General features: G+C 40.5%; 1 long non-coding RNA gene and 2 pseudogenes across 7 annotated transcripts in view; all 3 read left to right on the plus strand.

Moving 5' to 3' along the window:
• The first annotated feature begins 4 nt into the window (after positions 1-4).
• On the plus strand, positions 5-3708 carry LOC105369249 (uncharacterized). The gene is made up of 3 exons (XR_929633.1): positions 5-64; positions 1871-1991; positions 3666-3708. It is a non-coding gene; the product is annotated as an uncharacterized LOC105369249 (long non-coding RNA).
• A 4185-nt stretch (positions 3709-7893) lies between these two features.
• ANKRD20A2P (ankyrin repeat domain 20 family member A2, pseudogene) overlaps positions 7894-25961 on the plus strand; it is a 60257-nt pseudogene continuing 42189 nt past the window's right edge. For 5 of the 6 annotated variants that reach the window (XR_007061496.1, XR_004837499.2, XR_004837500.2 and 2 more), the window contains exons 1-6: positions 9127-9391; positions 12699-12813; positions 12976-13149; positions 17035-17141; positions 18188-18325; positions 20925-20980. The product of XR_007061496.1 is annotated as an ankyrin repeat domain 20 family member A2, pseudogene, transcript variant X1 (transcript). Of the gene's footprint in view, positions 9392-12698; positions 12814-12975; positions 13150-17034; positions 17142-18187; positions 18326-20924; positions 20981-25961 lie in introns of all 6 variants that reach the window. The other variant, XR_004837502.2, reaches the window with a different exon arrangement.
• On the plus strand, positions 19715-19821 carry RNU6-1269P (RNA, U6 small nuclear 1269, pseudogene; annotated as a pseudogene).

Consider the following 25961-nt stretch of genomic DNA (forward strand, 5'->3'; position numbering starts at 1 on the left):
TGAAGATGAGTCCGCAGAGAACAGGATGGTGGTGACATTGCTCATATCAGCTCTTGAGTCCATGGTGAGACCTTCCGTTCTAACATTCTGTAATTGGGTAGTACTGGGTGGTAGATAAGGTTGATTTGTTTTTGTAGAATTTATAATTTTATGATTTATAGTTCTAATGAGTAGATCTTTTTCTTGAATAGTAGTTATGGTCAAACACTTCTGACCAAATGTGCCATGTTGTCCAGCCTGGTCTCAAAATTTGGGGCTCAAGAGACCTGCCCACCTTGGCCTCCCAAAATACTGGGATTACAGGTGTAAGCCCCTGAATCTGGCCAGATATTTTTCTTTTTATGGCTGAATAATACTCTGTGTATGTATATATTACATTTTCTTTATCCATTCACCTACTGATGGGCATTAGGGTTGGTTCTACCTTTTGGCCACTGTGAATAATGCTGCTGTTAAACGGGTGTACAAATACCTGTCTGAGTCCCTGCTCTCAGTTATTTTGGGTATATACACTTAAAGGGTGTTGGTGGATCATATAATTCTGTGCTTAATATTTTTAAGGAGCTGCTAAACCATTTTCCACAGTGGGCTGTACCATTTTACATTCCAAAAGGCAATGCATACAGCTTCCAATTTCTCTATAGCATTGCTGACAGTTAATATTTTCTGTTTATGTACTGTATTTTTATAGTGTTTGAAATTAATCTGAGGGTTTTTGCTGATACCAAAATATTAGGAAAGGTTTTCCAAAAATAATACTGCTTATTATAAAGAATTTTATGTGTTACTTGATGCCCTGTGATCCATTTTCTCAGTAAGAAGAGGAACTTCTCGGCTGGGCGCAGCAGCTCATGCCTATAATCCCAGCACTTTGGGAGGCCGAGGCAGGTGGATCACAAGGTCAGGAGTTCAAGACCAGCCTGGCCAACATAGTGAAACCCAGTCTCTACTAAACAAACAAAAATTAGCTGGGTGTGGTGGCGGGCACCTCTAATCCCAGCTACTCGGAAGGCTGAGGCAGGGAATTGGTTGAACCTGGGAGGCGGAGGTTGCAGTGACCGAGATTGTGCCACTGCACCCAGCCTGTGTGATAGAGTGAGATTCCATCTCAAAAAAAAAAAAAAAAAAAAGGAAAGAAGAGGAACTTCTCTCCATTCAACCTCATTCCACTGCACCAACTCTTCTGTGTCGGGTTGTGCAGGGGAGAAAGGGAGCTTGGCACCTCTTTGCTGTGTTGAGTTGTGGTAGCCCATCACTGGGTTGTAAAGTGCATTGCCTCCTCCCCCCCCCCCTTTTTTTTTGAGACAGAGTCTCACTCTGTCACCCAGGCTCAGGTGCAGTGCTGAGATCTCTGCTCACTGCAACCTCAGCCTCCTGGGTTCAAGCGATTCTCCTGCCTCAGCCTCCCAAGAAGCTGGGACTATAGGCACGTGCCACCACACCTGGCTAATTTTTTTTATTTTTAGTAGAGACGGTATCACCATGTTGGCCAGGCTGGTGTTGAACTCCTGACCTCAAGTGATCCACCCACCTTGGCCTCCGAAAGTGCTGGGGTTACAGGCATGAGACACTGCGCCCATCCACCTCCTCTTTTACTTGGGAGAAATGCGCAGATTCTGGGTGCCATGTGCATTTGGGAGTGATACTGATCTAACTTATGGAAATAATACTAGATAGAAAGTTAGTGGATGGATTCTCTATCTGATGAGAGTTTTGGGCAAAACGAATTCCTAGTTTCTGAGTCTTATTTTTCCCCTGATTCAAGAAAACTGTGAATTATCCAGCCGGTGAAAAACTCTCACAGCTCTGGATGTGAGTTTAGGACACTGGATTTCTACCACTCACTTTCTTACTACTTTTCTTGTGCAAGGATCATGGCACAAGTTGCAGTTTCCACCCTGCCCATTGAAGATGAGGAGTTTGTTGAAGATGAGGAGTCCTTGGAGAGCAGGATGGTGGTGACATTCCTAATGTCAGCTCTCGAGTCCACGGTCAGACCTTCTGTTCTCACATTCTGTAGTTTGGTAGGACTGGGCAGTAGATAAGGTTGATTTATTTTTGTAGAACTTACAATTTTATGATTTTCAGTTGTAATGAGTAGACCTTTTTCGTGAATAGTAGTTATGGTTAAACACCTCTAACCAAATGTGCATGTGGAGTTTCTACACTGATTTTCAGACAATCTGGATCCCAACTGGGTATCCCACAATTCCATCCTGACACTCCCTGGAGTTAGTGCAGACCCCGCAGGATGGGGTCTCAGTCCCAGGAGTCTACCCTCACTCCACATGCCAATTGCAAGTCTTGGGTTGTTACATGTAGTTTTGACCGACCAGTTAGAAAACAGGGTTTCATGACCCCATTGCTGGGTGGAATCATTTGCTCGGACAGCTTGCAGAACTCAGAAAAACAGGTTGTTTTTTTTTTTTTCTGAGATACAGGGTCTCAGTCTATTGCCAGACTGGAATGCAGTGGTGTGATCAAAGCTCACTGTAGCATGGGACTCCTGGGCTCAAGTGATCCTCCCACCTCAGCCTCCCAAATAGCTGAGACTACAGGCCCGCACCAGCATATCTGGCTAAGTTTTTTTATTTTTTGTAGAGAAGGGGTCTTGTTATGTTGCCCAGGCTGGTCTCAAATTTCTGGGCTCACATGATCCTCCCACCTCAACTTCACAAAATGCTGGGATTATGGGTGTGAGCCACTGCATCTCACCAATTTACTTTCTTTTACTGGTTCATTTTAAAGGCTATATCTCAGAAACAGCCGGTGAAAGAGATGTACATGCTGGGCACAGTGGCTCATGCCTGTAATTTCAGCTCTTTGGGAGACTGAGGCGGGAGCATCGCTTAAGTGCTCAGGAGATTAAGACCAGCCTGGGTAACACGGTGAAAACGCATCTCTACAAAAAGGTTTTTCTAAAAATTAGCCAGGTGCAGTGATCTATAGTTCTGGCTACTCAGTGCCTATAATTCTAGTTACTCAGGAGGCTGAGGTGAGAGGATGAGAGATGGGGCTTGAGCTAGGGAGGCATAGGTCGCAGTGAGCCACGATTGTGCCACGGCACTCTAGGCTGGGGGACAGAGCCAGACCCTGTTTCAAAAAAAAAAAAAAAAAAACCACAGGGCAAGGTGTGTCGGGAGGTCGGGAGGGGTGCAGAACTTCCATGCTCTCTATTGCGCGTGTTACCTTCCTGCTATCTCCCTTGTGTTCAGCAACCCCGGCATTCTCCAAATCTGGTTGTTGAGGTCATTTATGAAGGCTTCTTTAAGCAGGCATGATAGATGAAATCATTGACTATTGGTGATTAAGTCAGTCTTCGGCCACTATTTCTTCCTGGAGCCCAGTGGGTGAGGCTGACAGTTCCAAGCCTCTAATCACATGGTTTGTTCTTCTGGCAACCAGCCCTTTTTCTTAAGCGGTCTAGGAGCTTTCAGTCACCCAGTCATCTCAGTAACATCACCAAATGCATTCTTACTGTGGTGATCCCAAAGGTCTTAGAGGCTCTTGTGTTAGAAACCTGGGACTAAGACCAAATATTCAAACAAAAGATGGGGTCCTATCACCTTTATCACCAAGGCCTTTATAAGAACTTGAGAAGCTCTGTGCCAGGACGAGGGGCAGAAACCAAATGTGTATTTTTTTTCTTTTTCTTTTGAACACAGAGTCTCTGTTTCACCCAATCTGGAGTGCAATGATGCAGTCGTAGCTAACTGCAGCCTCAACCACCTGGGCTCAAGCAATTCTCCCACCTCAGCCTTCCAAGCATCTGGGACTACAGGTGCACACCATCCATGCCCAGCTGATTTTTGTATTTTTTTGTAGAGATGGGATCTTGTTATATTGCCGAGGCTGGTCTTGAACTCTGGGGCTAAAGCAATCCTTTCACCACAGCCTCTCAAGTAGCTGAAACTACAGATGCATACCACCATGCCCAGCTAATTTTCTCTTATTTCTTTTTGTTGTTTAATTGAGGGGGGGGGGGTCTCACTGTGTTTCCCAGGCTGGTCCCGAACTTCTGGCCTCAAGCATTTCTCCTGCTTTGACCTCCTAAACTGTTGGGATTATGGTTGTGAGCCCCGGCCTCTGTGTCCAGCAATCACAAGAGGTCTTTATAAGTGAAAGAGGGAGGTAAGAGAGTCAGAATTGAAGGAGATTTGATGGTGGAAGCACAGGTCACAGAGGGAGATTTGAATATGCTTTGCTTCTGGCTTTGAAGATGCATTTAGGGGCCATGAGGCAAAGAATAGGGGTGGCTTTTGGAACTGGGAAAGGCAAGGGAACACCTTCTCTCTGGAACCTCCAGAAGGGATGCAGTCCTGCTGACACCTTGACTTTAGCCTTAATAGACCTATTTTGGACTTCTGGCCCCCAGACCTGTTAGGTAGTAGATTTGTGGTGTATTAAGCCACTCAACGTAGGGTAGTTTGTAACAGCAGCAAGAAGAAATGAACATGAAGCCAGGGGTAGTGGCCCACACCTATAATTCCAGCTATTTAGGAGGCTGAGGCAGGATGGTTGCTCTGGCCCAGGAGTTCAAGATAAGCCTGGGCAACAAAGTGATACCCTGTCTACATGGGAAAAAAAAATTAGCGGGTGTAGTGGCATGCACTTGTAGTCTTAGCTACTAGAGGCGCTGAGGCAGGACGATTTCTTGACCTAGGAGTTCCAGGTCTCAGTGTGTTGTGATCGTGCCATGGTGCCCCAGCCTGAGTGACACAGCGAGATTATATCTTAAAAAAAAAGTAAAAAGAAATGAGTGAGCATGGCAGGAATGGGGACACATAGCAATATTAAATAGAGTGGTCAGGGTTGGCCTCCTAAGTGAAAATTGAGCAAAGACTTGAAGGAGGGGAAGGAGCTGGCCAAGGTACTGAGGGAAGAGCATTATAGGCAGAAACAACAGAATAAAGATGCTAAGAGGGAACTCCGTGGTGTGTCTGAAGCTCAGGAAAGAGGATTGTCGAGCAGAGAGGGGGAGAGAAGGTAGGGGAGGAGGCCAGGGAGTTGTGGGACTCAGATCAGTACAGATTGTGCAAGCCCTGGGAGGCTATTGCTGGGGCTTTGGCTTTTATGCTGTCTGAGATGGGAGATGCGGAAGGGTTCTGAGCAGAGAGGTGACACGAACTGTCTATTGATTTAAAAGCATCCCATGGTGGCTGAGTTGAGAAAGATTGTGGGAAGATTTGGGTAGAAGCACGGAGGCCAAGCTGTGGCAACATCCAGGTAGGAGATGATAGTGGTTCTGACCAGGGTCCTGGCAATGGTGAGAGATGGTTGATTCTTGTTGAGATACTAAGTAATTAAAAAAAAAAAACACTACTGCTTTTCCTGATTATATGAAGTATGGGATGCTAGATTAAAGACATCTTAAGTCGGGCCAGGTGCAGTGGCTTACGCCTGTGGCGTCAGCACTTTGGGAGCACTTTGGGAGGCACAGATGGCACAGATGGGAGAATTGTTTGAGTCCAGGAGTCTGAGACCACCCTGGGCAACATAGCAAGACCTCCTGTCTATGCAAATAAAAATTAATAAAATATAATTATCATGGGATAGTGGTATTTTCCTGTAGAACCAGTTACTCTGGTTGTCGAGATGGGCAGATCTCGAGGGTGGGAGTTTGAGGCCAGCTTGGGCAACATAGCAAGGCTCCTCTTTCTACAAAAAAAAAAAAAATCATCTGGGTGTTGTGGTCCCAATGAGGGACAGCATTCCTGAGACTTTTTAAGTACTTTGTGTGATGGTCTAATAATCATAGCCTTAAAACTTTCTGGCTGGGCATGGTGGCTCACACCTGTAATTCCAGCACTTCAAGAGGCCGAGGCGGGTAGATCATCTGAGGTGAGGAGTTCGAGACCAGCCTGGCCAATATGTGAAACCCTGTCTCTACTAAAAATACAAAAATTAGCCAGGCATGGTTGCAGCACCTGTAATCCCAGCTACTCGGGAGGCCAAGACAGGAGAATTGCTTGAATCCGGGAGGCAGAGGTTGCAGTGAGCTGAGATGGGCCACTGCACTCCAGCTTGGGCAGCAGAGTGAGACTTGGTCTCAAAGAAAAGTTATTGTGATATGCTGTACACATTCACAAATTCAGTGTCTCCCAGAAGTGTGAGATTCTTTTTTTTTTTTTTTTTTTTTTGAGACAGAATTTCACTCTTGTTGCCCAGGCTGGAGTGCAATGGTGTGATCTTGGCTAACTGCAACCTCCACTTCATGGGTTCAAGCAATTCTCCTGCATCAGCCCAAGTAGCTCCTGCCTCCCAAGTAGCTGGGATTACAGGCATGTGCCACCATGCTCAGCTAATTTTTTATTTTTAGTAGAGTTGGGGTTTCTCCACGTTGGTCAGGCTGGTCTCGAACTCCCGACCTCAGGTGATCCACCCGCCTCGGCCTCTTGAAGTGCTGGGATTACAGGTGTGAGCCACCATGCCCAGCCAGAAAGTTTTAAGGCTATGATTATTAGACCATCACACACACACAAAGTACTTAAAAAGTCTCAGGAATGCTGTCCCTCATTGGCCTGGTATGACAAAGATAAGAAGTCGGTCGTGAAAATTTCTGAACGTGGTTTAGGACAAGGAACCCCAGTAAGATTCAGAGACAACCTAGAAAATTGAAAGAAAATTTTACTACTGAAATCATCCTTCTATAAAAAATAATAGAAGATGTCAAATATGAAAATAAAACTGTCCTCTGGGCCCTCAATTTTCTGTGTCATGGGAGAAGGCAGACAGCTACTCAGCAGTTATATCCCATAAGAATGGATAATACTAAAACAACTGACAGCATCAAGTATTGGTTAGAAAGTGGAACTGATTCTCTCATTTTCATTGTAGTTTAAGATGGCATAACCACTTAGGAAAATGTCTCCCCATTTCATACAATGCCAAATATATACTTATTTTATAACCCAGAAAATCCACTCTTATGTACTTAAACTCAAGAAAAGTGAAAATATTATTACAGAAAAAAATATGTATATCTGATTTGTTCGTAGCAGGTTTATTCATGATAGCCTCAAATCAGAAACTGCTTTTGTGTCTATCAATAGTGGAATGGATTAAAAACAAAACAAGCAAAGGCCTCAAACCTGTGGTATAGTCATAAAGTTGAATATTAGAAAATAATGAATAATCAATAGGAGCAAAATGATGTGTCACAAGCATGTTTAGTGAGTGAACATAAAAATTATATAATTTATAGTTTCACTTACATAAATGGTGAAAACAGACAAAACTAACCTTTTGTGGAAAGAATCAAAACCGTGGAAGCCTCTGTGTTCAAATACTGACTGGAAATGGGCAGGAGAAAACATGTTTCTGCCAGATCTTCTATATGCCTGATGTGCATTCACTCGATGTATTTTGCGTATACTATTTTTGCAAATAAAACTGAGATAAAGGCAAAATAACTCAAGAGAAGATAGATAGAAATAGGTAGAGTTGGGATAGAAGCCTTCGAAGCTACCCCCGTACCTTGCCCACCTGGCACAGGCCGAGGAAGTCCTGGGACAATGCTGTGAGCGACCTGAGGGCCGTCCAGGGGAGCCCCGCCAGCCCATGCTGGCGCCTGAGCTGCCCGCCGCCATCTGAATATGTTGCAAAGACAGTGCTGGCCTGGCAACCGGTGACGCCCCACCCCGACCCCCACTTCTACCCAAGTAGTGGCTACGCTAGAGACAGATTCCTGGGCGGCAGCGGTTAAGTCTGGCAGTTGGCCAGGTGGCCAAAGGACGGGAACTGGCCGTTCACCCCATCCCAGTTCCACAGAGAACTCAACCACTATGGCCCCTGAGCGGACCTTCAGGCCTGGTGGGCTGTGCTCTGTGCCTGCAAACCTGACGCCATCCAGGGGAGCTCCGCCTTCCCGCGCCAGCGCCTCGGCTGCTGCAGAAAACTGCAAAACTGCAAGTTGCACACGGGCAGAGATGACGGAGCAACCCCCGACCCTCCGCGCCACTCACCCTACCTGCACACCTGCCGCGCGGACCCTGGGGCGGGTGCCTGGGTGCCCAAGTCAGGCAGTCCGCACAGCAGTGGCACCAGGGTGAAAACCTGCTGCTCGGTACCATCCCGGTTACCACGAAGAGCCAGTCCCGGCGGCCCCTGCGTTCTTGGAGGAGGCCAAGTCAGAGCAACCTCTCAAGTGGGAGGGCGATGCACTTGACCCTGAGGACATCAGGTACCAGGCCCGCCAGCTCACGCCTGCATCGGAGCCGCAGCTGCAGTCTAGACGTGGTGCACCGGCAGCAAGTGACTGGACACTCCAGACCAGGCCCGCCCCGCAGTAGCGTGGATCCTGAGGCCAGACCCCCAGGCGGCAAAATCAGGCAACCGGCCCCGCCAGCAGCCGCTGTTTCATCCGTGTGGACACAGAGTGCCCAGCGCCAGGGCCCAGGATCCAGAAAGATGTCCAAGAGGAGCGGACCTTGAGGCCAGGTGGGCTGTGCGCTCTGCGGCCCTGAGGCCATCCAAAGGAAGCTCCGCCATCCTGCGCCAGTGCCAGATCTGCAGCTGCAAACCGCGCGTGTGGCACTGGCAGCAGTGAGGGCGGGTGGGGGAAGGAGCAGTCCCTGACTCTGCCTCCATCCCTCTCCAGCTACCTGACACTAGCCACACAGACTTCAGGGTCAGAGCCTCAGCGTTCAGCCAATCCGCGAAGCCACTCAGGTGGCCGCGGAGTGCCCTTGCCAGCACCCTATCTCCCTTCTGAGGAGGAGCGGGGCGGGCTGCAAGGCCAGACAGGCCCTCCTTCTCAGGCCGGGCTGGCTGCGCGCCTGCGATCCTGGGGCTGCCCGGGCGATCCCAGGAGAACCGGCGAGCCCATCGGCGCACGCCCAGAGCTGCAGCCCCACCTGCTGGCGCGCGCCGCCAGGGAGCGTCTTCTGGGAGCCCGGCAGCAACTGCCGTGCAGGCGCGCGCCCAACGGCTTTGCGAGGCTCACTCGGTCTGAGAGGTCGGAGGCTGCGAGTGTCGCTGCTGAAGGCTGTGGTGGACCGGGCTGGATCGCGGATTGTGTAGATTATAGATTTGAAATAGCGGAGTTGGGGTTGGATCGGGGCTTTGGGGTTGGATAGGGGATTTGGGGCTGGGTCGGCCGGGGTCGGGGAGGGGGTTGGTGAAAAGGTGACAGGGAGCTGCCCTCGCTCAAGAGCCGGTGGTTGGGGGTCTGAGAAGAAGTCACCAATATGAAGTTATTCGGCTTCGGGAGCCGCAGGGGCCAGACGGCCCAGGGCTCCATAGACCACGTCTACACGGGTTCCGGATACCGAATCCGGGACTCCGAACTGCAGAAGATCCACAGGGCAGCTGTCAAAGGCGACGCCGCGGAGGTGGAGCGCTGCTTGGCGCGCAGGAGCGGAGACCTGGACGCCCTGGACAAGCAGCACAGGTAGCGGGGGCTCAGCCCGGGGTGGGAGGGGGCCCCCAGGCCCGGCTTCCCCGCAGACCCTGGGACGGGGCCGTGCAGGGCGCCGGGCACCCTCGGAGCGGCGGAGCCAAACGGACTCTCAGCTGTTTTCCATCCCTCATAATTCCCTGGCTGGAGCAGTTGGAGAATTTGAGTGATTTAACTCACAAAGTTAAGCATATACAGCGTTGTTATTTTTAACGTACACGTTTAAAACATGGTTTATATACATTATAGGAGGTGCCTAATGAGAGTACTTGTTCCCCTATCAAAAATAACCGTGAGTTGTTTCAGTGGGCGAAAAGTTCTCAGATAAGAGAGCTTACTTGAAAAATATTTACTATATTATATATATATATTTTTTCAGATGAAAAGTATGTTTTCATTTTATAGGGAATTCATTATATTCTTTTTTTTTTTTTGAGTCGGAGTCTCGCTTCTTTGCCCAGGCTGGTGTCCAATGGCACAATCTTGGCTCACTGCAACCTCTGCCTGCCCGGTTCAAGCAATTTTCCTACCTCAGCCTCCCAAGTAGCTGGGATTGCAGGCAGGTGCCAGCATGCCTGGCTAATTTTTGTATATTTAGTTTCACCACGTTGGCCAGGCTGGTCTCGAACTCCTGACCTCAAGTCATCTGCCCGCCTCCGCCTCCCAAAGCGCTGGGATTATAGGTGTGAGCCACCGCGCCTGGCCTATGTTGTTTATTATATATCATAAGATATATATATATATTACTGATATGTATACATATATAACACATATAATATGTTATAAATATCAGTTATATATACACATTAGATGAAAAGTACCTCTTCATTTTACAGGGAATTCTTTCAAATCAAATTATCAAACACTCTAAAAGTGGGCAAAGTACCTTTTTCCAGATCTACAAGTTACTTATATACATAGGAAAAAATCCTTCGCATTTCTGGTATAAGAATTTAAACTAAAAGAGGAATGAAACAGTTTTCTATCCACAATATTTGTGAGGATGTTTTATACTGCTGCTTAAAGTTGCTGATTACTTTTCAAAGTACTCATTTGAAAATGGTAAGTACTACATTTAAAAAATGTGTATGCCCTTTACCCACCAATTCCATTATACTAAAATACCCTTAGGAAATAAAGATACATGCACTTTATTTTTCACAGTACTTATTTTAAAGAGAACCCATAGAATGGATCCTATAAATAAATTTCAGTTGCATCCATAGGATGGAATAATATGTGACCACTGAAGGTGGCAATAGATACAGAAGTACGTTGATGTGCAAAGATGTATTTTGTTATAGCTAGCAAGGAGAAAAAATTAGTTAAATTATACATACACAAACATACTATGGTCTTGTTTTAGCAAAAATATGTACAAAATATAAAATTTGTAATTTCTGAGCATTTGTATTTTAAGTAAAGTTTTTTTCCTTTTTCTTATCTGTGATTGCTGCAGTGAGTACAAAACTTCTAGTAAAAGTTTATTATTAATGGACTAATCCTTGGGAAGAGAGGAATATGAATCTTGTGCTGATGAAAATAATTTCTCACTTTCTATTTTTTATCATTATTGTGTGTGTTGTTATCTTCTTTGAGCTTTTAGCCTCTTCAGAAGTAAAAAGGGAATGTTTTTATCTGTTTCCAGATTTTATTATCTATATATTTTATTATGTACATATGTTTTGCTTATATACTCGTTCCATTTATGCAAACATAATCATTTCATTTTAATTGTATTCTTTAAAAATAAAACAACACATATAAATAATTACTATTGCAAAAATATTGCTTTATAGGAGTTTATTTAAAAATAATGAACTCCCCAACTGTATTTATCCATTCTTTCATTCCATTTATGGATCAAGCATAACCTGAGTACCTGCTATGTAGCAGACATATTCTGTCATCTCTCAGGACCCGTCCATCCTTAAACACTTCATGTTTACCTGCCCCGCCTGCACAAGCTGAGAGATTTAAAATAGGAATATTGGGACTTAATCTCCTTGAAACTTTATCTCCCACCTTTCAAACAAAAGCATTTCTGAAGTTAGAAAATAGTAGAAGATAACCTTTAACTGCTCTTTCGAAAGTTTGTCAGTCTTAAATACTAATATTAATCATTGGAAAGTCTTATTTGCATATATTTTCTAAGTATAAATATTGAATACAATGAGCCATATGTATTCATTTGAATCATGAGTTTCCTTTGGCTTCAAGTTGTTTGAAAATCAAAGAATTAATTTGTTTAAAAAATGCATTATTGTTATTTCAGTGCTCTTTCCCCATAGTACCTTTAAGAACTAAAATGTATTTAAGTTTCAGTTACATGCCTAGAACTGCCCTAGACCTGCTGAGTATACCATATTCTACTTAATGTAAGGTCTCATGGATTGCGTGATGCCCCGATATTTTATATATCAATAAGATAATTTTTAAAATGCTACCAATTATAGTTATAACAAATCATGAATTATAAGTGGCATTCCAATGTCAGAGGTGTTAAAATGTGACCTACTCGTTAAGTCATCTTGCAAAGTAGGTGTAATTGTATCATTCTACCTAATTAAAATGGTTTTGTTAAGTAGTAGTAATAGTAATAATTATAATATCTGGCTGGGTGCAGTGGCTCACACCTGTAATCCCAGAACTTTGGGAGGCTGAGGTGAGAGGATTGCTTGATGCCAGGAGTTTGAGACCAGCCTGGGCAACAAAGTGAGATTCTTACTCTACAAAAATTTTTAAATAAATAGCTGGGCATGCTGGTGCTCATCTGTAGTCCCAGCTACTCAGGAGGCTGGGGATGGAGATCATTTGACCCAGGAGTTCCAGGTATAGTTACACCATTGCACTCCAGCCTGGGCAAAAGAGTGAGACTTTGTCTCAAAAAACAAAAATCTTACAATTATTGAGTTGTCGTAGGAACTGTTCTGCATACTTTACATAGCTTCTCATTTAAGCATCATGATGGTGTCCTATGAGATAGCTACTATTGTCATCTTTATTAATGAGGAAGTTGAGGTACAGAAAGGCTAAGCAATAGTTGGTAAGTGTCAAGGCTTAAAGTAGGACTCAAGCCCTAGTTGAACCGAATCCAAAGACTGAGCTCTTTCTACTCAAATAGGCTGCTGTTTTCATTAAGGCAGTGAGCAATAAGAGTAAGTATTGTACTTTCTTCAAAAAATTTATTTGTTTTGAAGGCAGAGGAAAAACATGCTATTCAGTTTTTACATTACATGAATGATTGTATGTTTTGAGATATTGTACTACAGTTTCTTAAAAAATCCTCTTACTCTCATAGAACTGCTCTACACTTGGCCTGTGCCAGTGGCCATGTGCAAGTGGTCACTCTCCTGGTTAACAGAAAATGCCAGATTGATGTCTGTGACAAAGAAAACAGAACGCCTTTGATACAGGTATATTAGAGCCAACTCTTTTAGCATGACATGGATTTGATTTACATATATAGAATTAAAATAAATTGATCTCATTTACATATAACTAGTTGGTGAAACCTGTGGAATGTGTATTTTGAATTCTTGGAATTTACAATCTGTTTCTTGGTCTAACACGGACAGGCTGTCCATTGCCAGGAAGAGGCTTGTGCCGTTATTCTGCTGGAACATGGCGCCAATCCAAACCTTAAGGATATCTACGGCAACACTGCTCTCCATTATGCCGTGTATAGTGAGAGCACCTCACTGGCAGAAAAACTGCTTTCCCATGGTGCACATATTGAAGCACTGGACAAGGTATAGGTCAATCAACTTTCTTTCCAAAATATTTGTTTTAACATTGACATAGGTAAGGGTCAATTTTTTATATTTGGAAGCTCAACCATTCCCTGAATGCAAATACAAATTAAGTTATTTTGAAATAACTTAATTGTCTAAGATTTTATTTTAAATATTGATACTTTTAAAGAAGCATTAAAGGGCACAGCTTTATAAAATGCACTTTGGAAAATATTTGTGAATTTGTTAAAGGTAAAACCTTTTCAACTTTTTTTCTACACAGGCTTATTCTTTTTTTTTTTTTTTTTCTTAATTAGTGTAAAACAACAAAGGAAAGAAAATATTCCCCGGAAATAGGCTTTATCCTAAAACTCAAACAAAACTAAAGCAACTTACAATAAAGGGACATGTTGCTGCTGCTGCTAATTTTCTGAAAAACTGATGTATCATCTTTCAGTGGCAAGGCTTAAGAGGGAAAAATGGGAGGGGAGAAAGAGAGCGATCAGAAATATGCAGGTCACTTGGATATTAGATAATGAGGGAAAATGCCAGGAAGAGGTTTTTTTTTGTTTTTAAGTTTGTTTTATGTGTTGAGACAAGGTGCTGTTTAGCTTTGGGTCTAATAATTTTTGGTTTGAAAAAGAATGAGTTGCAACTTGCCTAGAGATGAATTTTAGGAGGACTCTGAGGAAACCAGATTGGCAGTGAATATGTGGTGACGAAGTGAGAAACACTTCAGCAGAAGGTGGAACAAATTATTAACTGACTTATTGCTCATCCTGGCAGAAACAGCCACTTAGATAAGAACCTAAAGCCTCCTCTCAAATCTAGAATGTCTTAGTGGGAAGGTGGGAGATAAGGAGCTTGTAAATAGCAAAATCAAGTGGGATTTTGAGTTTACTTGTCCCTGTTCTACCCATAGCCAGGAAACTTAACTGGAGTTTTAATAAATGACACTATCTCTTACTCTTTTCTCTTTTTGGCCACATCTCCAACTGATAAAGGAATTAGCCATGTGGGTGAGAGGTGAGACTGAAGTGATTGTCTGCTGCACTGATTCTCAGAATTGTGCATTACAGTGACCTGAGGACATTTTGTTAAAAATCTACAATTGTAGGCTTTCCCCTGAAGATTTTGATGTAATAGACCTAATAAGGCCTGAACGTGTTTAAAAATGTTTTCTTGAAGCTGGGCACAGTGGTGTATTCCTGTAGTCCCAGCTTGAGCCTAAGAGTTTGAATCCAGCTTGAGCAACATAGTGAGACTCTTGTCTCTAACAACAATAATAGCCAAAAAAAAAAAACCACAAAAAAACAAAAAACCTTCAAGGTTGGGATACACTCTTGATTAAAAACCCCAGAATAGATAAGTGCAATATATAAATTTCTGTATCTCAAAAATGTAAGAAATCTCTAGAAGAGTTGGCATTTGATAGTTGCCACTTCCTTCAAAGTTCTCCTTTTCAATTATATTAGCCTGACTTATCTGTCTTTCTCTACATCTGTGACTGGGAAGTGAAAGGAAATATCATTGGCAATATCTCTCAGCTTACAGAATAACATGTTTTGCTTCCCACCATGAATCATTCACTACCATTCAGAGAGTATTCAGAAATTTGCTTATGAGTAATCTTTCAACAGGTAGAGGCTGACCCTTTCATGATTTCATGTCCCTTTGTCACCACGCAGGTGATTATGTGTCAACAAATGTTCATTACAAGTTTGGCTTTCTCAATTAAGATAGTAGCAAATCCTAAACTATTTTTTTTAGTTGAAGTTTTATTATGAACTATCTCAGTATGTTTGTTAAGTTTATAGAACTTTAGCATACCCAAAATGTCAGTTTTAAACACTGAAATCCATGAAGTTAATAAGAATATAGATAGGAATTCTTTTAATAATTTAGTTTTAGCAGTCTTGTGAACCAATTATCTATTTGGTTAACAATCTTGGAAAATTATATACAAACATATTTTAAATGAATACATGTTAGAAAAATTCTTGAAGCAGGTATTGTGAGTCTTTTTAGCAATTTTTATTATATATGAGAGCCTGATTTTTTGGTAGAACATATGATACCAGAGAAAGAAAATATTTTACATGCAAATACTTGGATTATACACAACCATTTAGTAACACATTAATAGCGAATATAAAAAAAACAAGGGCTATATTCTAATGTGGTACACAGATTTGTTTGTTTGCCTCTATAAGTTGAATCAACATGTAAAATTTAGAAGACTCGTGAAGAAATGTGGACTTCAGGCGTATCCTAAAAAATCAAATCTGGTGTCCCCTGAGTTTCTATCATTCTTTGGTCTGCTGTGCAGAAGTTGCCCCTTTATAGAAGGCAGGTATTCTCCAGTTTGCTACTGTGCCCACCTTAGTACTTCCCTTACTCAGGCAACCTTCCTTTGTCCTTGTAAGTATCTGAGTTTACAACTCCTATGTTATAGTATATTTTGATAAAAATTTCAAGGTTTTTAAGTCAGCATGTATTTGTTTATAATATATAGTCTATAGAGTATATAAATCCCTCAGTTATGGAGTTGAATTTTAGAGTTTAGAAGTTTTTAACTCTTTTCTTTATATATACCACAAATAATTCTCTGCCCATAAGAATGCCTAGAAGCCTTTTTAGGTTATTCCTGGTTATAGTTGGATAATTTATGAATATTGCAGACAGTACATCCTTCTCCTCAGTGCTCTTCCTTAAGGATGCAAGTGACTTATTGGCTTGTATTATGCCAGAAATAATCCATGTGGATCAGTATGAGAACTTCTATTGATAAGCCATTATGTTTTTATTTCTGATTTATATTTTGTCTAAAATAAAAAATAATTTTAAGTAGCCATTTAAGTGGAAGCCAGTAAAAATGGATTTAAAAAGTAGAGCTGCACTAGGGTCCCGGGATTACCATTATAATTGAGAATAGTATTTCTTACTGAGTTTTGGTTTTTAAAATATTTGTTCTTAAGTTTTTTAAACCTATCTCTCTTACACAGAATATACTGAGCTTTCTAACAGTAAAGATAAAAATCTCTTCTCTTGTATTAGGGGAAAAACCCATGGACTATTTAATAATAAGGAAAATAAATGCATTTGAAGCCAATCTCTCTTAATTCAAAGCTCATTTCCATGGTGACCCATTTGGAGCAGGAGTGCCTGACATTGGCATCTGGGATCCTGACACCATTCATAAAAGTGAATCAAGCAAGTTTGTACCACCCAGAGGGAACTGCCACCTGTATTGGGAAGCTCTGGCAACTGTATCTCTGAAACTCTTAATTCCTCAAATGTTAATGTTTGCCACAAATAGTATTGTGAAAGGGGATTAGGTGAAATTAAAGAGATTTCTTGATTATTGGACATAAAATACAGTTTTGTAATACTTCTCAAATACAGATGGTCATGGAGTCTTTCTCTTGCGGTATAATACTTCTGATAAAGCAAATATTCTTTGGAATATAGTTTAAGAGACACTGCTTTAGAGATAGTAATTTAGATCATTAATTAATGTAAAAAACTTAAAATATTTGCTACTGTGTCTTAGGGTTTTAGGCCCTTGCCTCAAGAAGCTCTTGGTTTCAGTGGGAAACAATGAAATGACTACAATGTACCATGATAAGTGCTGTGATCAAAGCAAGGATTCTTGGGACTAGTAAATGTTTAAAGTGAGTTTTGGCAATGACCACAGTTAATCCAGGGAGACAGAGGAGGGTTGTTTGCAAGGCAAAGCACAGCACATCAGAAAGCACAGAGGAGTGAGAATGAAGGGACTGCTTTTCATTTACTTCCTTTCTATATTGTATGTTGAAGTTCAAAGCATCCTGGAGAAGATTTTCAGTTCAGTTGAGAAATATGTAATTTTGTGAATTATTAATTTTTTCTGCTGTTTTATAGGACAATAATACCCCACTTTTATTTGCTATAATTTGCAAGAAAGAGAAAATGGTGGAATTTTTATTGAAAAGGAAAGCAAGTTCACATGCCGTTGATAGGCTGAGACGGTACAGTAGTTCTTTTTTTAAAAATAAAACCTGAGTATTCTAGAGTGGTCACTCAAGTCAGAAATATTAATAAGAAGATTAACATAATTATTGGCATATAATGAAAAATATCACCATGAATAATCAGGTAGACAAGCAAATATTTGGACTGAGTAACATAAAGAATAGTATATAGTAGGATTCATCTTCTCTTATAATATACAGAGTTTGGTATTTATAATCAGATGTTTTTCGTACTGTAATCTTTTATTAGCTAAAGGGTTTTGTATTAGTTTTATTAATTTTTTTTTTTTTTGAGATGGAGTCTTGCTCTGTTGCCAGGCTGGAGTGCAGTGGTGTGATCTCAGCTCACTGCATTCTCCACCTCCCAGGTTCAAGCGATTCTCCTGCCTCGGCCTCCCAAGTAGCTGGGACTACAGGTGCACGCCACCATGCCCAGCTAATTTTTGTATTTTTAGTAGAGATGGGATTTCACCATGTTGGCCAGGATGGTCTTGATCTCTTGACCTCGTGATCTGCTCTCCTTGGCTTCCCAAAGTGCTGGGATTACAGGCATGAGACACTGCACCTGACAAGTTTTATTCATTTTCAAAGTGTGGACTTTTAGTTTATGACTACTAGCATTGTCATTATTATTATTGTTGTTGTTGTTGTTTTCAGCCTGCAGATAACTCTTATCTGACCCCTAGCTGATTTGACTAGGAAAGCAATGGGGAAATCTTCATCTAAATCTTTGCCTACTTTAGATAAGTGACCTCAGCACAGTTTCTTGGCCATCAAAGGACTATAAGTTAGCAACTTGTATTATGTCTTACCCCAGTGGGACAAGAGGCTTCCCTGTTGTCCCTTTCTTTTAGCCTTGGTGACAATTTACAAAGATGAACACTTGAGCACCCTAGATGCTTATAGACCCAAGCTAGTACATGCAAATAGTTATTACATCTATACTGACAGGCGGATATTAAACTGGTAAAGTGTATCAAACTAGCTTTTTAAAAAAGTCTTTATTAAAGTTCTTGAGTGGAGTTATTTCTTTGTTGTTTTAGGTCAGCTCTCATGCTTGCTGTATACTATGACTCACCAGGTATTGTCAATATCCTTCTTAAGCAAAATATTGATGTCTTCGCTCAAGACATGTGTGGACGAGATGCAGAAGATTATGCTATTTCTCATCATTTGACAAAGTAAGTGTTTATGTTAAAAGGCCAGTTAATGCTAAATTGAAGTTTAAAATAATTGCAACTACTCCATCTTATGCATTAGGTGAGAGTTCATAGTTTGGTTCAGATAGTTTGAAATAGCGAAGAGTTAGTCTACCTTTTAGCCAGAAATCAAGCAGAAGTCTAGATTAGTTAGAAGTAGAGTGCGAGATTTTTTCTGGATTTTTGAGACATTTATCCCTAGGGATCTCAATGTTATTCATTTTATTCTAAGTATAATCCCCATGCATGGGATAAAAAGAGCCATGTCTTTGATTTCTTTTCCTTTCCTTTCCTTTTTTTTTTTTTTTTTTTTTTTTTTGTAGAGACAAGGTCTCACTCTGTTGCCCTGGCTGGTCTTGAACTTTTGAGGTCAAGTAATCCCCCTGCCTCGGCCTCTGAAAGTGCTAGCCACCATGCCTGGCCTGACTTTTCTAATTAGTTATTGAGTCTTGTAATGTCCAGTTTAACAGAAAATCTTGTATTGTCCCCTGGGGCTCTCTCCTGTGTCTTCCTTCTTTGAATTTTCCAAGAAGCTAAGGGGTTTCCTAAGTCCAAGGAAGGCAATCTTTCTTTACAAGTCAGAAGAAGGGGAAAAAAGGCCATTCTAATCATTCTGTTGTTTCCATGGACTCACTTGCTGTATTATTGCCATTATAACCGGTCCTGCAATCTGATAATGATTGACCTTTGCCACCAGGATGCCTTCACTGATTCAGACCCCTCAGTTTTCATGGTGATTCATATATAGAGGTCAAAGCTACGGTGTTTATTAGTTTATGTACTTGTGCTCAGTCATTGTTCCCAGCACCCTGCTCTGGCAGCTAGGCCTCCTAGCTTTATCCACACAAATATTGAGCAAGTTGATGCTCACCCTACACTAAAAACCTTATTTGGAGCCCACGTCTTAGCTAGACTTTGCCTAGGCCTTCGTGGTATGTTATCCTTTGAGAGCCATGTTTGTCTTTCCTTTAACCAATATTAGTTGGGATTGTTCTCAATAGTCAGGGATGTTCAAATAATGTTGCAGGAAGAGATCAGAGTTCCCTGTCTCTTTTGCTATCAGATCTGTACCTTGAGGCTTTTTTATATCCTGTGCAGCAGCTTTGGTTAGATAGCGGAATGTTCCATGTTATCTTTCCACTGAGTAGTGGGAACCAGCTTGCAGTTGGCCCCTCAAGTAATGTGTCTCTATAATCATGAAAATCTCCTGGGCTACTTGCAGCTCTTCCTCAAGTTTTCAATATATTTTAAAATTCTACCTCACAGGAAGCCATTCAATAAAATTCTCTGAATCTGAAGTAAGTGAGTTGGATTTAATAGAGCTAAGCCTCATCCATGACTCATGAATATCCATGTATCAAACAGGGCTTTGTACTTATTTCAACAGCACATATTTTAAAATTGGATCAATACAGAGCAGATAAGCATGGCTACTGCCTAGGGATGGCACACAAATTCAGAAAACATTCCATATTTTGCCTAGTCCCAGGAAGGCCATTTGACTATTTGTTGAGTAGCTCCAAGGAAGCAGTGTGAGCAAAACCAAAACAGGTGACACGCAATATTGAAATTGTGATTATCGCTATGAAACTATTGATGTATGGTGATCTCTGAAATGGGAACAGAGCTGAGTAATAAGGGGATGTTACATGTTGTTAGTACATGTCTTGGAAATGAGAAAATGTCAACTTGTATTTCCTTCATGGAACTGAAAAACAATCAAAGCAGGGTTTTGTCTTGTCTGTTAGTTGGAGAGGACCATGGAGATCCAGCAGCCAAGCACAGATCTGCTGGCTCAGAGTTTGAGGAGGTAGAGAAGGAGTGGTAGTTGTCCAAGCCAGGTTTTGACACCTATTAGTTTTCTGCCCTTGGTGTGATTGATGAGCTCAGTGATGAGCTCACTAAATTTATATATATAGAAATTTAGTAATAAGTTATGAATTAGGTAAAATGCCCTGAATTACAAGCCACAATGAATACAAGTAATAACCAAAATTAGCACTTAATAACATTTTCTGAAAACTGCAACATTTGAGTATTAGAACTTACAGAAAAACACACACCGAGCATTATTTGGGATTCCAAAATGGTTTCAGCAATAAAGTTCAAGAATAAATTATTCCATTGCTTTACTATTTCTCTGAACATATAAACATGTAATCTCATTACATCTTCCAAACAACCTAGTGAAGTAAGGTAGCAGAATCCTTGTTTTTTAGAAGAAACCATGGAGCCTAAGAGAAGCAACTTGTCTGAAGACAAAATACCTACAGAGCGAGGTATTTTGGTTACAGAGCAAGGACTTACTCTGAGTGCAGGACACTTTGCATGATATCCAGCTAACTAGAGTTCATTTACTGAGCTGTGCTTCCTCCATTTATGAGTACTTCACTTTCTTTTCTTCTTTAATTATAAGCTTAATAAGCTTGTAAGGTTTACAAATTTGAAGTGTATGGGACATTAAAATTCTGATATTAGGTCTGATATTGCTTGAAAGTGTTTTGGAATTTAATATGTTTGGTGAATATTTTTTATTTCATTATAAAAATGGCAATTTTATTTATTACTTTTGTATACATAGAATTCAACAACAAATTTTGGAACATAAAAAGAAGATACTTAAAAAGGAGAAATCAGGTAAGACTTCTGATTGTGAATTTCTTACTTGTCTTGGTGGTCCTACTCTTGATAAAATACAAAGTAAGATGTAAGATTAAGGTAGTTTCAGTCAAAAAAGACCAGTTTAAAAATATGTGTAAATTGAATGTGTATATATGTATATACATATGTAAATTAATTTTTAAAATTTAACTTCTTTAGTTTGAAATTCAGATTTATTTAAGAAGGTAGTTGTAGCTAATTTACAATCTCAAACATTATTGTCTGAAAACATTCATTTATTTAATTATGATCCCTAAAATCCTATATAATATTTTTGCATAAATAAGAAAAAAGATTTTTAAGTTAGTATGTTGTATGTTTCCTCTATAGTCACATTATAACAAATTGGACTTGTTATACAAATGGATCTTCGATTTCATTTTTATAATAAATTGTTTATATTTAGTAAACAAATAACTACAGTTGACCCATGAATAATGTGGGGGTGAGGGACTCTGATCCCTGTGCAGTTGAAAATCTGAGTATAACTTTTGATTCCTTCACCTTAGCTACTAATAGCCCACAATTGACTGGAAGCCTTCCTGATAACATAAACAGTTGATGAACACCTATTTTGTTTTTGCTGCATTATTATATACTGTGTTCGCACAATAAAATAAGCTAGAGAAATGAAGCTGTTAGAAAGGAAATCATCAGGAGAAACATATTGACTTTTCATAAAGCATAAGTAGTCCTGACAAAGGTCTTCATGATCTTCAGGTTGATTAGGCTGAGGAGGAAGAGGAGAGGTGGATCTTGCTGTCTCTCTGTTGCAGAGGCAGAAGAAAATCTGCATATAAGTGAATCCCTGCAGTTGAAACCCTTGCTGTTCAAGGGTGAACTGTATTACATATTGATTTGTGTCACTAAGAAAGTAACTATCTTTAGAACCAGGAACTCAGCAATCCCTTTCTGGTACCATAAATAAATGGCAATAAGAACTGTAGAACTGAACCAGTGTGCACCCATACAAATAGGAGATTATTTTTTGAAGACAGCTACTGAGCACAGGAGACGGAAAAGCAATTCCTTTGTGAGAAGCACAAGTTATATTACATATTCGTACACAAGCAAAATGATTTTATCTGTCATAGTTTACATACATACACATACACACGTGCACATGTGCACACACCTGTGCACACAGACACAAAGTTAAAAGTCCTGCTTATTCTTAATGACCAAATCCAACTGTTCACAGAGAGCGGTGGATAACGCATCCTACTGTTTGGATGCAATTCTTTTGACTTTTTGACTTGTTTTGTGATGAACTGCCTTTAATGGGTTTAAATCATGTTTTCAGTTTTATGAGAAATGAAGAAAAAGATTAGAAGCAAGTAAACAGGAACTCTATGGTCAGTAGTAGACTATAATAGTATATTCAATAGTCATATGTTTTTCTCCAGTTACACAATTTACTTGAATGATGCACAATTAATCAATTATTATTATCATAGGAGATGGGGTCTCTCTATGTTGCCTAGGCTAGAATACAGTGTCTATTCATTGGTGCAATCATAGCTCACTGTAGCCTTGAACTCCTGGGCTCAAGCAGTCCTCCTACTTCATCCTCCTGAGTAGCTGGGACTACAGTTTTGTGTGGTTACATCTGGCCTGATACACAATTATTTATTTGTTTATTTATTTTTAATACAGGGTCTCCCTCTGTTGTCAGTACTGGTGTGCAGTGGTGTCATCTTGGCTCACTGCAACTTCTGCTTGCTGGCCTTAAATGATCCTTTCACCTTAGCCTCCCAAGTAGCTTGGACTACAGGCATGCACTACCACACTTGGCTAATTTTCTTTTTAAGGGATTTTTGTTTGTTTGTTTGTTTAATAGATGAGGTCTCACTATATTGCCGAGGCCGGTCTGGAACTTCCGGGCTCAAGTGATCCTCCTGCCTCAACCTCCCAAAATGCTCGGATTTACAAGTGTGAGCCACTGCACCTGGCCTTCAAAATTATTATAAAAAGGAATGAAGCCCAGTTGAGTTGCAGAAAATTGACCACTTTTTCATTTTTTTTCTAGAAACATTCATATTGTAGAACATATTGTCAATCACCCAGATTCTCTATTTTTTATTCAGATAAAAGAGGATTGCTGCTCATTTCACATTATTTTCTGACATTATTTTTTCATTTATTCCTTCTATGGCTTTATTCAATTGGATAGATATAGAAATACGAGAATCTCCAAGTCAAATATCAAGGCAAAAAAAGAAAAGAAAAACAGATTAGGTAAAGTTATTCTGTGAAATAACCATCTGATTACAGTTACACGTATCATATCAACTTAATACAAATCTTACACAATGAATTTGTGTCAAGGTTTCCCAAGACCACCCCAGGTTTGGTGGTTCATTAGAAGGACTCACAGGACTCAACAAATAGTCATACTCAGATCTTTAATTGATAACAAGGAAGGGGACAAGCAAAATTAGTAGAGGAAAAAGGTGCATGTGGTCAATTCTGGAGGAAACAAGGCACAAGCCTCCAGGAGTTCTGTCCTGTGGAGTTCCCGGGATCTGCTTAATTCTCCCAGGCTCACATTTTGACAACATATGTGCAGTGATGTCTACCAGTACCAGAGTTTCATTAGAGACTAAGTGCCCAAGTTTTTCTATGGAGGTTACTCTCCCTCACATGTACCCAAATTCCAGACTCTTACAAGGAAAGCAGCTGTTTAGAGTAAATACACTGTTTCTATAAGCACTTTAGACACAGTGAGCCACTCTTCTCAGGGAATGGTGGAAACCCTCCCATTTCCAATTTCCTAAACACCAGCCAAGGGCCAGCCTTGCATGCAGGCCTTTCTAAGGATGGCAGCCTCTTGCCTGCTATATGAAATCTTTTCTGCACAACACTTGTAACCCCAACTTAATTTTTGGTGTTGTTTTAAAATTTCATTTTAATAACATAATATTATAAGATAAGGTAACTTGGTACTAATTTCTGTTGTATGATCCATCTTAAGTTGCAGTGCTTGTTACTTTTTTGACTTTTGGTGATGAACAGCTATTTGTATATAAGTTACCATAGCAATGTTAGGTAATTATAATCTGTCCTATTTATCTCATTAACCTTTCAGTAAAATTGTTAAATTAAATAAGCAAAATAATTTCTGAGTTAACATTAGAATAAAAATTGTCTTTTATTTTGATTACATGAATAGTCTAGTTTTCATATTGTGCTAAATCCCTGTTTAGAATTATGAAATAAGATAAAATATTCAATTATTTTTATCAATATTTTCTTACCTAAGCATGCAATTAAATTTATTTATTTTATATATTTTATATAGTTCAATTTGAGAAGTAATGACCACATGTTGTTACTTTGGTCTTCAATGATCTCTAATTTTTAGGGTCACCGTGTCTTGCTTAAATATATCATAGTAACAGGTTCAGTGAATATCTTTATTTTTTATTTTATTTACTTATTTTTTTGAGACGGAGTTTTGCTCTTGTTGCCCAGGCTGCAGTACAATGACATAATCTTGGCTCATTGCAACCTCCACCTCCCAGTTTCAAATGATTCTCCTGCCTCAGCCTCCTAGGTACCTGGAACTACAGGCATGCACAATCATGCCTGGCTAATTTTTTGTATTTAGTAGAGATGGGGTTTCACCATGTTAGTCAGGCTGGTCTCGAACTCCTGACCTCAGGTGATCCACCTACCTCGGCCTCTCAAAGTGCTGGGATTACAGGCATGAGCCACTGCCCCCAGCCATTTATTTATTTATTTATTTATTTATTTATTGTAATTGTTCTGGAGATCCTGGGATGCATAGACAGTGAATATCTTTTTGTTTTTTGAGATGGAGTCTCACTCTGTCTCCCAGGCTGCAGTGCAGTGGTGCGATCTCAGTTAACTGCAACCTCCACCTTCTAGGCTCAAGCGATTCTCCTGCCTCAGCCTCCTGAGTAGCTGAAATTACAGGTGCCAGCCACCATGCCCAGCTAATTTTTGTATTTTTATTAGAGACGAGGTTTTGCCATGTTGGCCAGGCCGGTCTTGAACTCCTGACCTCAGGTGATCCACCCATCTTTGCCTCCCAAAGTGCTGAGATGACAGGCATGAGCCACTGAGCCCAGCTGAATATCTTTTTTTAAATCAATAACCTTATTTCTTAGAGCAGTTTTAGGTTCACAGCAAAATTGAGAGGAAGGTACAGAGATTTCTCATATATCCCATGCCTCCCACACATGCATAGCCTCCCCCATTATTACTATTTTCCACCAGAGAGTGGTACATTTGTTACAACTGATGAACTTACATTGACACATTATAATCATTCAAAGTTCATAGTTTACATCAGGCTTCACTCTTGATGCTGTACGTTCTGTGAATTTGGACAAGTGTATAATGACATGACATGTATCTATTACTGTAATATTATCGACAGAACAGTTTCACAGCCCTAAAAATTCTCTGTGCTATGCCTGTTCATCTTTCCCTTTCTCCCTAGTAACTCGTGGCAACCATTGATGTTTACTCTGTCTTCATAGTTTTACTTTTTTCAGAAGAGTCACATAGTTGGAATAATACAGTGGATATCTTTTTGAATAGTTAAAAAATTAAAGCTCCATGGCAGTTGAATGTAGTCATTTAAGATGTTCTTTGTCCTTTTGTTTTTCTTTTGCTTCTTTATCATTGTAAAGAATGATATATTCTGATGACATATGCTTTACATACTTAGAAAACATGATTTGTATAGATATGTGCACATAATAGAAAGGGTTGAGGAAAAGGACACCATGCTGTACCACACAGCACAAACTGGAGCATCTTGCTCTGTGAGGTGGGTCCAGATAGATTCTCTAGCAATGGAAGGGGACAAGTGCAAGGGGTTGTACTTTATAAAACTGGAATCACAAAGTCTTTCATACTTACCTTCGGTTGGAAATAAGACCAGACAGTGAATGCTATAGGTAAGTACATAGGTTCCTCACTGATC

This window comes from Homo sapiens, chromosome 9 (assembly GCF_000001405.40).
Source record: "Homo sapiens chromosome 9, GRCh38.p14 Primary Assembly".
NCBI classification, from domain to species: Eukaryota; Metazoa; Chordata; class Mammalia; order Primates; family Hominidae; genus Homo; species Homo sapiens.